Source organism: Homo sapiens, chromosome 3 (assembly GCF_000001405.40).
Source record: "Homo sapiens chromosome 3, GRCh38.p14 Primary Assembly".
NCBI lineage: Eukaryota > Metazoa > Chordata > Mammalia > Primates > Hominidae > Homo > Homo sapiens.
The window spans coordinates 56,726,369-56,739,763 of NC_000003.12; the positions used below are offsets into that span (position 1 = coordinate 56,726,369).

The 13,395-nt window shown below is 42.5% G+C and overlaps 1 protein-coding gene across 21 annotated transcripts in view; it reads right to left on the reverse strand.

Annotated features, from left to right (window-relative positions):
- Positions 1-1,051: 1,051 nt before the first annotated feature.
- ARHGEF3 (Rho guanine nucleotide exchange factor 3) overlaps positions 1,052-13,395 on the reverse strand; it is a 351,849-nt gene continuing 339,505 nt past the window's right edge. For 15 of the 21 annotated variants that reach the window (NM_001377411.1, NM_001377410.1, NM_001128615.2 and 12 more), the window contains 3 exons: positions 10,817-10,987; positions 5,870-6,056; positions 1,052-3,254 (listed from right to left, as the gene is read on the reverse strand). In NM_001377411.1, the coding sequence (NP_001364340.1) occupies positions 2,902-3,254; positions 5,870-6,056; positions 10,817-10,987 (711 nt within the window). In that variant the 3' untranslated portion in view covers positions 1,052-2,901. Of the gene's footprint in view, positions 3,255-5,224; positions 6,057-10,816; positions 10,988-13,395 lie in introns of those variants that run through there. The other 6 variants (XM_017006503.2, XM_047448226.1, XM_047448227.1 and 3 more) reach the window with 2 other exon arrangements.

Genomic DNA, 13,395 nt, shown 5'->3' on the forward strand with positions numbered 1-13,395 from the left:
ACTAATCTTTTTTTTCTTTTTTGAGATAGGTTCTCACTCTGTCACCCAGGCTGGAGTGCAATGGTGTGATCACAGCTCACTGCAACCTCTGCCTCCTAGGCTCAAGGGATCCTCCCGACTCAGCCTCCTGAGTAGCTGGGACTATAGGCACATGCCATCAAGCCTGGCTAATTTTTGTGCTTTTGTAGAGATGAGGTTTTGCCATGTTGCCTAGGCTGGTCTTGAACTCCTGGGCTCAAGTAATTCACCTGCCTTGGCCTCCCAAACTGCTAGGATTAGAGGTATAGCCACTGTGCTCAGACTAGAAAGAGTACTAATCATTTTAATTAAAGTAGACTGAAATTCCAGTAAGAATTTCAAAGTGAAATTTGCCTTCTTTTATTTAGCCTCAAGTTCCTCAACAGTTACCTATATTAGCAGTGAGATTCAACATTTCTTTTCTATAACAACTATGACTTACCACTTGACTTTATACATAGTATGGATTCCAGATAGAGTTATTAAAAGTGAACACATAAATAAGTGAATGAATAGAGAATGCTTGAGAAAACAGATTTTAGAATTATGAGTTCTTGGACAGACTCAGAGGCTTACGCCTGTAATCCCAACACTTTAGGAGGTTGTGGCAGAAGGATCACTTGAGGCCAGGAGTTCAGGACCAGCCTAGGCAGCATAGTGAAACTTCAATCTTTACAAAAAATTTAAAAATTAGCCAGATGTGGTGGTGTGTACCTGTAATCCCAGTTACTTGGGAGGCTGAGGCAGGAGGATTGCATAAGCCCAGGAATTTGAGGCTGCAGTGAGCTATGATCACACCACCACACTCCAGCCTGGGTGACAGAGTGAGATCCTGTTTCAAAAGAAAGAAAGAAAAAAAAAATGAGTTCTGTGAAAGTTTTGATAGATCAAATAAAAGCATTTGTATCAATCTGCATCCTATTTTAAAGTTTGTATTCAGGAACCACAAACAAAAATTTCAGAAAGAACCTCCCCAGGAACACAGCTGAAACCTGTATTTTGTTTGTAGGACAAACACTGTACACATGGAGGATGACTTAATAATGTAATTTATTTGAAATACTTCCAGAAAAGTTTAAGGCCATTATACAAAAACATTCATTTCATCAAAACATTCATTGACCACCTTCCCATAGGCCAACACTTGACAAACCTCTTTTCCCAACACACTGGCTGATGGCTTCTAAAAGTGGCTGATGGCGCCTACAAAGAATCATTCATTCTTTTCTTCACCAATAAAGGCTGTTCTTGGCTTTCCTCTGCTTCTGTCTGCAGCAGGTTCACTTGCTGTATCAATAACGACTTGAGAAAGCAGTTTTAAATAAACTTGTAATAGAAAAAATTCATCATGTTTAAGACCTATAAATACAGAAATATGTTTTACAGGGTAAAATTGATCACAATATCCTTGTTTTCAAAAAATAATAAAGTATATACCTTGTTTTTATATTGATATATCTTGTCACACAGCTTGAATGCACATGATATATGTACATAATAAAATGACATCAATGCATTTACTGCTTTCTTTTCTGTAAACTTGAAAGACAGATTAAAAAAAACTTTTTGGCAATAATTTAGAATAATTACCACTAGTGCTGGTGTGGGTATAATTTTGCACAGGTCATCCTTAATATTTACACTTGCAGGGAGCTCTTCTAGGTACTTAGCTGTTTTTAAGGTCTGCACTTTACCCTGCACTGTAAATCAAGGCTGGACAAAGAGGTTACTAATCTGGCTAGCTGATTCTAATTAATCAGAGTTAATGAAATTGGCCTCTGGAGAACATAATTACAATTCTGATTATAGCACAGAACCAGAGATGGCAAATTGACGACCCAAAAGCAGAGCAGGAAAGCCCAAAGCTCTGGCCTTTCTCAGAAGGCACTGGACCATGCTTTTCTCTCAATGGCTCCCACAGAAGGTTCTGACGAAGTGCTTTTCATTCCAAATTCTTCCTCTCCTGTGTTTCTATAAACAGTGTCATCGATAGAGTCATGGTCTCTCTTCCTTGTTGCTTCATTCATTCTCTAAAATAATGAGTAGGCCTAGGCAGATGAAACACAATGAATACAGGGCCTTCTTGTTATCCTGGCAGGCCTTCCTAAGCCCTTTGGGTTCTATTCTGATGTTTTAGGCTAGCAACCAACTATGAGAGACACCTCCTGGTGCCATGTGCATTTCAGTTAAAGATTCAGAGCTGGCAGCCGCTTCTGTCCTGGCCCTTTTAAGGTCAGCCTCTATTTTATGTCCTAATACATTCTTGCATCAAACTTGCACTGGATGAAGTTGCAAAGTTCAGACAATGCATCCTCCTTTGCAAAATTAAGCCTTCAGAATCCCCAGGGATGTTTTCAAGCTTTCTAGTTGAGTAAGATCAAACCAAGTTCACTTCATGAGTTGGTCTTTCCTGATTCTCTCTCTAATACCATCCCAATACACAGATGAGTTCCTCATGCCCTATTTACAAGGCCGTCTAAATTCCGTGCCTTTAGCTACCACATCTAAGAGCTGGGAAAGTGGTACAGAAGCACAAGAGGAAGGACTCTTCAAACAATCTATGTAAAACAGTAGTTTTGAGATTCTTTTTCTATTTTTTTAAAATCCAGCAGGACAACTGAAAGTAACTTGTTTGAGTACCTCTCCATCCATCCAGACACTTGGGAAATACAACACAGGGTAATAGTTGCCACAGATTCCAGCTTACACAGACAGATTGGCAGTTACAGTACTAGGGACAAAGGTACAGATACGAGAGACTGGGCCAACATGTATACTTTCACAAAAGTATGAAAAAGTGCTTCTCCAAACCGTTCCATCTGTGGAATGCAAATACTGTACAGGTAAGATGCAGGCCTGCTTCCCGAAGTGCACATGCTTCTGTCAGACGTTACTTTCACCGTGCCTGCTGTTTCCACAGGAAGAGTCTGTCTGTTCCATGCGCTCACAGTCGAGGCTGACCTCACTCGTGTCCATACTACAGTCTGACTCACTGTCCGATTGGTCCATCTGCTCAAGTTTTGTTTCTCCCTGTAGCTCTCTGCTCCCGGTGGTGGGATTTAGGAACGATCCCTCGGAGTCAAGCACCCCAGCTTGCCCGGCAGCACACAAAACTGTTTCTTTGGCTTGACGAATACAGTTAAGCCACTGCTGTTTGTTGAAAGTGTCATTGGCTTGTAGCGAGTGGGTCTGACTTTGGGATCCATTTTTGAAACTGACTCTGAAGAAGTTTTTAACTAGAAAGGAAAAACACATGAAAAACAAAGTCAATGGACAGATCCTTCCTCAGGCCAAAGAGAACACACGTAGTGACACTAAACCCCAGAATCCATGGCAGGTATTGCTGATAACAAAACGTTTCCCACTGATCTGGGGCATGGCTCAGCTCCACCCTGCAGCCACCATCAGGGAGATGGGATTGACACAGGTCTAGCGTTCAGCTGCCCTCGTCGCTCTCAGAAACCCGCAGGTGGAGATCATCTTGGAACCACAAAGTCAAGTGATTTAGGGGAGCCCAGAGTACTGGTGACCCAATCTGGCTGCATAACAAAATCCCTTGGGGTGAGAGCTTGTTAAAAAGACAGATGCGCTCAGAGGCTGAAGTGGGAGCACTGCTTGAGTCTAGGATTTTGAGATCAGCCTGAGCAATATAGTGACGCCTTTTCTCAAAAAATAAAAATAAATCAATAAAAATAAATCCCCAGGCCCTTTTTTAGAGATTCTGATTCAGAAGATCTAAAAGTCGTTTCATAATCTGTAATTTCAACAAGTACACCAAGCTGGAGCTTTTTTCAGTTTAAGAGGCTCTTTTTAACATTAAAACATGCCCATGTTTCTCCATATGAGAGTATCTATACACTTAGTATCCAATGATGGAGAAGATATATGTAGACAAATTTGGTTTCATTGTCAAACGAAATTACATTTTAATTACCTCAACAGGAGCCATCTGCATTTAAAAAAAAATGGTAGTCCACAATATGGAAGACATTTTATTTAATCTTTTTTTTTTTTTTTTTTTGAGACAGAGTCTTGCTCTGGAGTGCAGTGACACAATCTCCGCTCACTGCAACCTCTGCCTCCTGGGTTCAAGCAATTCTCCTGTCTCAGCCTCCTGAGTAGCTGGGATTACAGGCATGCACCACCATGCCTGGCTGATTTTTGTATTTTTTTTAGTAGAGACAGGGTTTTGCCATGTTGGCTAGGCTGGTCTCGAACTCCTGACCTCAGGTGATCCACCCACCTCAGCCTCCCAAAAAGATGGGACTATAGGCGTGAGCCACCGTGCCTGGCCTATTTAATCTAATAACAACAATATAATGGACATTTAAAGGGCCCTGCGTGCCACATGCAATGCTTGGTTCACAGAAGCATCTGCAGTCAGTCCCTTTGCACTAACCCTGCAGCCAGTAGACTGGGAACCACCACCACTTCCAATGGCTTAGAGGCTAAGCAACAGAGGGAAAGGAGGCCAAAATGTTTTACTGCTAGCCATCTTTGGCTAGAAGCTATTCTCCGTCCTTCAAATTTAGGCTCCACCCTTTGATCTTGGGCAAGTACCTTAAATCCTCTGTATCTTAGTTTCTAACTTGTAAAATGGAGAAAACAAGAACCTACTTTATATGGTTGTTATGAGGAATAAATGTAATACATGTAAATGCTTATACAATGCCTGGCACATAGTCAGTACTCAAGAAACATAAGCTCTTATTTCTACTACTCCTACTCCTAGGGTAGAGGGATTGATCAGTAGGGAGAAGGCAGTACATGTTAATTACTTTGACAGTATGATGCCTATGTTAACCCAGGAAGCTCAAACGTTACTTTCTCAGAGAAGTGTTCCCTATCTCATTTAAAACAGACCTCCAGGCTGGGCCCGGGGGCCTGTAATCCCAGCACTTTGGGAGGCTGAGGTGGGTGGATTACTTGGGGTCAGGAGTTCCAGACCAGCCTGGCCAACATGGCAAAACCTTGTCTCTACTGAAAATACAAAAATTAGCCAGGTGTGGTGGCCAGCCCCTGTACTCCCAGTTACTTGGAAGGTTGAGACACGAGAATTGCTTGAACCCAGGAGGCAGAGAGTGCAGTGAGCCGAGATCACGCCACCACACACCAGCCTGGGTAACAGAGGAAGACTCTGTCTCAAAAAAATAAATAAATAAAAATAAAACAGACCTCCTATTGCTATCCCTTCCTATTCCCTTACCGGGTTTTAAGTTTTCTTAACAACACCTGGAGTATTCATTTGTTTATCATCTTTCTCCTCCATCACAATGCAAGCTCCATAGGGGAAGGAAGTTACCTGCTTGTTTCACCGAGTATCATGTTAGATACTCGATAGATATTGCTATCTTGGCTTCTTTTAGTTAATTTGTTTATTAAGTCTTAAATTAGGCCCACTGAGTAATGTTACAGATGAATCCACATTCCAGTTGACCATTCTTATGTCTCTTTAGGGACAAGTTTACCAGTTCAGCTGCAAAACCCACCATAACGCAACTGGCATCCATGTAGGGACTATCTGGTATTAAGCATGTTTTTATCCAATGGAAAAAGACAGAGAAAGGGAACTTAAGGAGCACTAACTATGTGCAGACAGTTTCACTTAGATTATCTTACTAAATCCTTATAACAATCTTATGAAGGAGGTACCTATGCATTTCCATTTTGGAGATGAGAAACTGAGAATCACAGGGACTAAACAAAGTACATAATCAGGAAGTGATGAAATAGCATACAAATGCAGTTTGACTTCAAGACCGTGGCTTTTCTCTTTCCACCAGCTGCCCACTCCCTCCAAACTACCACGGCCAAAAACATTCAACAGGTCAACCCCGACTGCTATCCATACTTCTCTCATTGTTGCTGAATGCCCCTCGCAGGGAGCCACCCAGCCTCACTTCTCCATCCTGGAGGTCTTCCAGCAGGAGGTCTTTCACGGGGATTGGCTGACGGTACAGCTGGTAGCAAAGCTGCTCATTGTGGGTGACGGCTCGAGTGATCACAAGCACTTCTTGGAACAGGAAAACATGCAGTTTCTAGAAGAAAAAAATCCACAAGCTTTCATTAAGCAATAATGTAATGAGTGGTTGATATGTGGACCTCTGTGGATAAAGAGGTCCCCAGGTACCAGGTTCACACTGGATTATGAACTCCTAGGTTCAAATCTACCTCCAGGAGAACCAAAGTTGGGCATGTTGGAGGCACTTCCAGATATGTCCACTGCCCTTCCTGTAGAAGCACCTCCCTAGGGACTCAATGGAGAAAGCCCTTCTGCCTACAGACACCTACAGCCAGGGTTGCCAACTTTGGGGGCCCTATTCACATTGCAATTCACAACTTGTACAGACATACCTGCCCCAGCTCCTATAAGAAAAAAACGAGAAAGGGAAATAGAATCAAGAAGGTGATGAAGGGAAAAAAAAGTTAGCACTCTCTTGACTTTAGTTTATATTACTCAATATAATTCTAAGTAATCAGGCCGGATGTGGTGGCTCACACCTGTAATTCTAGCACTTTGGGAGGCTGAAGTGGGCGGATCACTTGAGGTTAGGAGTTCAAGACTAGGCTGGCCAACATGGTGAAACCCCGTCTCTATTAAAAATACAAAAACTAGGCCGGATGCAGTGACTCACGCCTGTAATCCCAGCACTTTGGGAGGCTGAGGCGGGCGGATCACCAGGTCAGGAGATACAGACCATCCTGGCTAACACAGTGAAACCCTGTCTCTACTAAAAATACAAAAAATTAGCCGGGTGTGGTGGCGGGCACCTGTAGTCCCAGCTACTTGGGAGCCTGAGGCAGGAGAATGACATGAACCCAGGAAGTGGAGCTTGCAGTGAGCTGAGGTCGTGCCACTGCACTCCAGTCTGGGCGACAGTGTGAGACTCCATCTAAAAAAAAAAAAAAAAAATACAAAAACTAGCCAGGCGAGGTGGGCGGGGCGGGGGGGGGGGGGGGGCGCCTGTAATCCCAGCTACTCAGGAGGCTGAGGCAGGAGAATCATTCGAACCCAGGAGGCAGAGGTTGCAGTGAGCCCAGATCATACCACTGCACTTCAGCCTGGGTGACAGAGCAAGACTGTTTAAAAAAAAAAAGAAAAAAATTCTAAAAGATCAAAATTAACAATAGTCTATAAAAAATGAGACTGGTATATCAAAGCTAATATTAATCTTTGCTTCCCAAACCCATGAAAAACACTTGTTCCTTCAACCACAAAGTCATTATCAGCTTTATTCAGGAACTCTAAGTCAGAACAGTGCTCATTCCTGAGGGGACCAGAGTATGCTGCCACAGCCACAAAGAAAGATGATCAGGCTGGGCACAGTGGCTCACGCCTGGAATCCCAGCACTTTGGGAGGCCGAGGTGGGCGGATCACCTGAGGTCAGGAGTTCAAGACCAGCCTGGCCAACATGGTGAAACCCCATCTCTACTAAAAATACAAAAATTAGCGAGGCGCGGTGGCAGGCGCCTATAATCCCAGCTACTCAGGAGGCTGAGGCAGAAGAACTGCTTGAACCCAGGAGGTGGAGGTTGCAGTGAGCTGAGATCGGGCCATTGCACTCCAGTCTGGGCGACAAAAGCAAAATTCTGTCTCAAAAAAAAAAAAAAAAAAAAAAAAAGATGATCAATATTTTCCTTCTAAGTTAATCAGAACCTTGGTTCTCTGAAGAGGGTTAAAAAGTTGACGACTGATGTGTGTGATGTTGGCAAAAAGAAAATTGCAAAAATGAAGGCTTGTTTCAGGTCCCATTATGAAAGCAGGTGTGCTTGGTGGAGCTGGGGTATATTTGCTCCATTCAATGCTAAGTGCCAGACTCTTCTCACACTTTGGAAATGCTTACGAACTGAAGTGAAAATATCCACAACTTTGCAACTAGGTTCTAGCTTTCTGGTGGAAATATTTGGGAATGTCAATCCAGCAGTCTTAAAGGGGAGAGACCAGAAGAGGAGAGGTTGTCACTTGTAAGTGGGAGCTAAATCTTGGGTTCACATGGGCATAAAGATAGGAACAACAGACACTGGGGACTCTAAAAGGCAAGAGGGAGTGAGAGGGGCAAGGGCTGAAAAACTTCCTATCGAGTACTATGTTACTATGTTCACTATCTGGGTGATGAGATCAATAGAAGCCTATTCTCAGCACCATGCAGTATATCCTTGTAACAAACCTGCACATATACCCCCTGCATCTAAAACAAAAATGGGAACTGAATTAAAAACTTCAGATTAGAATTTTGACTTGGGATAGTGGGAGCACATTCAATATTATTAGATCATTTTAAATTTAGGAGAAAAGAAACCCATAGGTCTCCCACCCCTATCCCTACTACCTCCCAAACACACACAAACAGAAACAAAACCCAACCAAATCTTGGCTAGAGGGAATAAAATGTATATTTAAGAAGACTGAAAAACAGGATAAAGCACAAAATAACCAAGTTAAAGGCTTTTTGGTGTGGTAGTTGTGGAAATAACGTGTTAAGAATTTTCTTTTGGGGGCTGTTTTAATGTACAGTATTTGGAATAATCAGATTTTTACACTGTTTCTACTTCAATCAATCTTCTAGCCAAGGTGGGCTGAGATTGTCTGGGCAACCTTTTAAAAATACAACTCAGCCAGGCACGGTGGCTCACTCCTGTAATCCCAGCACTTTGGGAGGCCGAGGTGGACGGATCACTTGAGGTCAGGAATTCAAGAACAGCCTGGCCAACATGGTGAAACCCCATCTCTACTAAAAATGCAAAAATTAGCCAAGCGTGGTGTTGGGTGCCTGTAATCCCAGCTACTCGGGAAGCTGAGGCAGGAGAATTGCTTGAACCCTGGAGGTGGAGGTTGCAGTGAGCCAAGATCGTGCCACTGCACTCCAGCCTGGGCAACAGAGTGAGACTGTCTCAAAAAACAAACAAACAAACAAACAAACAAAAAACTCATTTATGAATGTTCACTGATAATTTCTCTTATTGGTCTCAGCTCCTTCCTGCCTTCAACTACTGTGCTTTTTTTCTGACCCAAGACTTTATTCACAATGACGTTTACAACTCTACCGGGTGAAAAAAAAACCCACAAGCCTCCCACCCCAACTATCTTTGTTCTCAAAAATCTATCTGCCTGCAATAAAAACTAGAGTTTATCTTTATGCCTTAGGCACATCTAACCAAAAAGTTCTCAGTCCTTCACTGATGTACAGAAAGATAATAGGCTTACACCCTGTGGAGCACTGCATTTTCCTATTTCTCATTGGGCTTCCTAGAAAGAACGTTCAAGGAGCTTGGTGTAAGATACTAGAAGTCCACAGGTGCTTTCTGAAAATAAGCAAGAAACAGAATGCAGCTTTCTAGCAATCAGTAACTCTCTAGTCCCACAGACACACGTCTTCAAGCAACAGACTTGACAGGTCTCATTACTCCCACTGTACCATCCACTGGATGGATCCACAGCATCCCTGATAATGGGTTATAACATGTACTCACTAATTTCAAGTAATATTTCCATGGCTGCTCAGTCTAGACTAAACGGATGTCCCTTGAATTATCAAAACTTTATTAAGAACCCTTCAATCTAGTTCTAGCTTTCATTCTAAGGGTTGGCTAGATACTGAAGATGAAATACAATCAAAATGCAGAGTCTCTCTCCCAATGGCTATCTCAACACAGAAATTTAAACACACACACACACACACACACACACACACACACACACAAATTTCTACTGGCTATACATACAAATAGCTTGGTGAGCTGAATGAATTTTGAACTCTCATATAATTCAAATTCATCTTTCCTTTTAAACAAGCATTCATTCATTGAGTACCCAGTATGTGCCAGGTCCCCATAATAGGTTCTAAGGTTGACAAACCACCAAAACAACATGGTATAATGGAATATACTGACAGACAAATGGAGAATTGCAAATCACTATATTAAGTGCTCCAAGGGAGATATACACAGTTGCTATGATAGCAGAAGAGGAACCATTTCAGTATCTACATGGGAATAAAAGCCAGGAAATGGGTATCTATAGGTCAAAGCTAAATATGCAACCAATAGAAGATAGGTTGTTATTTTTAAAAAATTGGTTTCAAAATGCCAGTCTGTGGATGGGTCCCAATGCACAAGAAAGAAGTTAAATGCATTCAACTGAAGAGCTGTTTCTCTGAGATTAAATCCTTCTAATATCTTATTAAGATCATCCTTTATTTTCTGAAATCAAAGTGACAGATGTTAACTGTTCTGCATTTGTTTCTCAAAGCCAAGATCAGACAAAATAAATAGCTGGCAACCCTATGTTGGTTTCCAAAATTCTTTCTGAATAGGTACTGATCCTTAACATTACAAAATATGAATGAATATATATATACATATACACATATGATCCTGTGATATAAATGACACTGGAAAAGCAATTTTTGTTTGAAAGAACGAAGGACAGGCACGGTGGCTCAAGCCTGTAATTCCAGCACTTTCAGAGGATAAGGCAGGCGGATCACTTGAGCTCAGGAGTTTGAGACCACCCTGGCCAACGTGGTGAAACCCTGTCTCTACTAAAAAAATACAAAAATTAGCTGGGCATGGTGGTGCGTGCCTGCAGTTCCAGCTACTTGGGAGGCCGAGGCACAAGAATTGCTTGAACCGGGAAGGCAGAGGTTGCAGTGAGCCAGCCTGGGTGACAAAGCGAGACTCCATCTCAAAAAAGAACATGACCCTAGATAGGGAAGAAATTCTAAGAGGAGGCTCCACACCAAATGAATTAGGGATACGGGAGGCGGATAAGACTGCTTAAAGGGAGTAACTACTTACCACGCCCCGATTGTTCTTCAGTTCACCATGACAACACAAGACTCGAGAGCTGTCGATCAGGGAGTCTTTCTGGCCTTCTTCCAAGTAAAGAAGCCGCTCTTTATAATAGCGGCATTCAGATTCACCAGTCTTGGTGTTGATTTCTGCCACAATTCCCTGAATGATATTTATCTATGAAAACAAAGAGGAAAATTAAGTATGGAGGAAAGCAGCAAACCATTCACACCAAGTCTTAGGGGCTCAGCCTAGAAGGACACCAGGACACACCTGGATCTAACTCTGTTATCTAAGTTGCTACTTTGGGAAAAGAGAAAAAAAAAAAACATAAATACTTTTAGCATACTGCATCTATCTATCCATCTGTACACATACACACACATTTATTTGTATACTTATAAAGATATTTGTATTATATATAAAACTAATATTGATGAATAATTTTATCCGGGAGGAAGAATACCTATTGAACTCCAGGCTGCATATTTCTTAAAACGTGCTCACAATGTTGAAAATGTAGCCATATAAAAAAATTAGCTAAGGACAGAAAACAAAGCAGAATGTAAGAGTCCAAAAGAGGGACTGTCTTTGAGGATGTGACACAATTAATAGCTTCAACGTCTCTCTATATGTACTCAATCTAATGTATGAACAATATTTGCAGATTGGGTTTGAACAAATGGTTTGAATATCTTTTTTTTTTTGATATGGAGTTTCCCTCTTGTTGCCCAGGCTGGAGTGAGATGGCACAATCTCAGCTCACTGCAACCTCTGCCTCCCAGGTTCAAGCGATTCTTCTGCCTCAGCCTCCCAAGTAGCTGGGATTACAGGTGTCTGCCATAATGCCCAGCTAATTTTTGTATTTTTTGTTTGTTTGTTTTGAGACGGAGTCTCACTCTGTCACTAGGCTGGAGTGCAGTGGCGTGATCTCAGCTCACTGCAACCTCCACCTCCTGGGTTCAAGTGATTCTACTGCCTCAGCCTCCTGAGTAGCTGGGACTACAGGCACCACCACGCCCAGCTAATTTTTTGTATTTTTAGTAGAACAGGGTTTCACCATGTTGGCCAGGGTGGTCTCGATCTCTTGACCTTGTGATCCCCCTGCCTCAGCCTCCCAAAGTGCTGGGATTACAAGTGTGAGCCACTGCGCCTGGCCAATTTTTGTACTTTTGGTAGAGACGGGTTTCACCATGTTGCCCAGGCTGGTCTTGAACTCCTCAGCTCAAGTGATCCACCCACCTCTGCCTTCCAAAGTGCTGGGATTACAAGCGTGAGCCACCACGCCTGGCCTGGATATCTTTTTCAGTGATATAATATAAATGTTTATAAAGAACAGAGAAAAAATAATGGGAAAAAAGACACCAGTATAATGCTGGGGATGGTCTGTATAAATACACTCACACCCAGGATCTAGAGCACATGTGAGTGACTAAGTTTGGGCAGAAGATTCCGAAGTGGTGGTGGATGCAGTGTTGTCAATATAAAAACAAGAGTACTGCCTGAGATGTAGTCAGTGGATATTTATTCTGATGTGTTGGTCATTCTGTCATATGAATATATTTAAATGTTACAAAATGCTAGCAAACAAAGGGATGAGAAATTAGTTGAGGAAAACTCAATGACACCAGGCCAGGCACGGTGGCTCATGCCTGTGATCCCAGCACTTTGGGAAGCCAAGGAAGGCATATCACTTGAGGTCAGGAGTTCCAGACCAGCCTGGCCAACATGGTGAACGCTGTCTCTACTAAAAATATTAAAAAAAAATTAGCCAGGCGAGGTGGTGCCCACCTATCATTCCAGCTGCTTGGGAGGCTGAGGTGGGAAAATCGCTTGAACCTGGGAGGCAGAGGTTGCAGTGAGCCGAGATCACGCCACCGCACTTCAGCCTGGGTGACAGAGCAAGACTCCGTCTCAAAAAATTAAAAAACTCCATGACACCAATCAGAGGCAAAATAATGATTTCCTTAGCAGGATTCTCTGTCCCCTAAAAGTGAAAAGACCAACAGTCCCATTGTTCTTGTGGTGGTAACTGAAAAGTACTTAACAGATGGCAAATGTTGATAAGGCCTCTTCTTCGTCACATTTACTTAAAAGAAAAGCCAATCTCTGAAAAGCAAGGTTCCAAAAGAGCCTTTGCGCAGTCAGAAGTTATCATGTCTTAAAATAATAATAATAATAATAAATTGTATCTAGGATTGTTAAGTAATTATTTTCCTTTTTTTTTTTTTTTTTCAGTTGAGACAGGGTCTCATTCTGTTGCCCAGGCTGGAGTGCAGTGGCGCCATCTTGGCTCACTGCAACCCCTGCCTCTTGGGCTCAAGTGATCCTCCCACCTCAGCCTCCTGATAGCTGGGACCACAGGCGTGCGCCACCACACCTGGCTAATTTTTGTATTTTTCATGGAGATGGGTTTTTGCTCTGTTGCCTAGGCTGGTCTCTGACTCCTAGACTCAAGCGATCTGCCTGCCTCGGCCTCCCAAAATGCTAGGATTACAGGTGTGAGCCACTGTGTCTGGCCAAGTGATTATTTTTTCATATGCCACTAAAATGATATTGTCTGCCAAAAGCAACTGGGTAAAAAC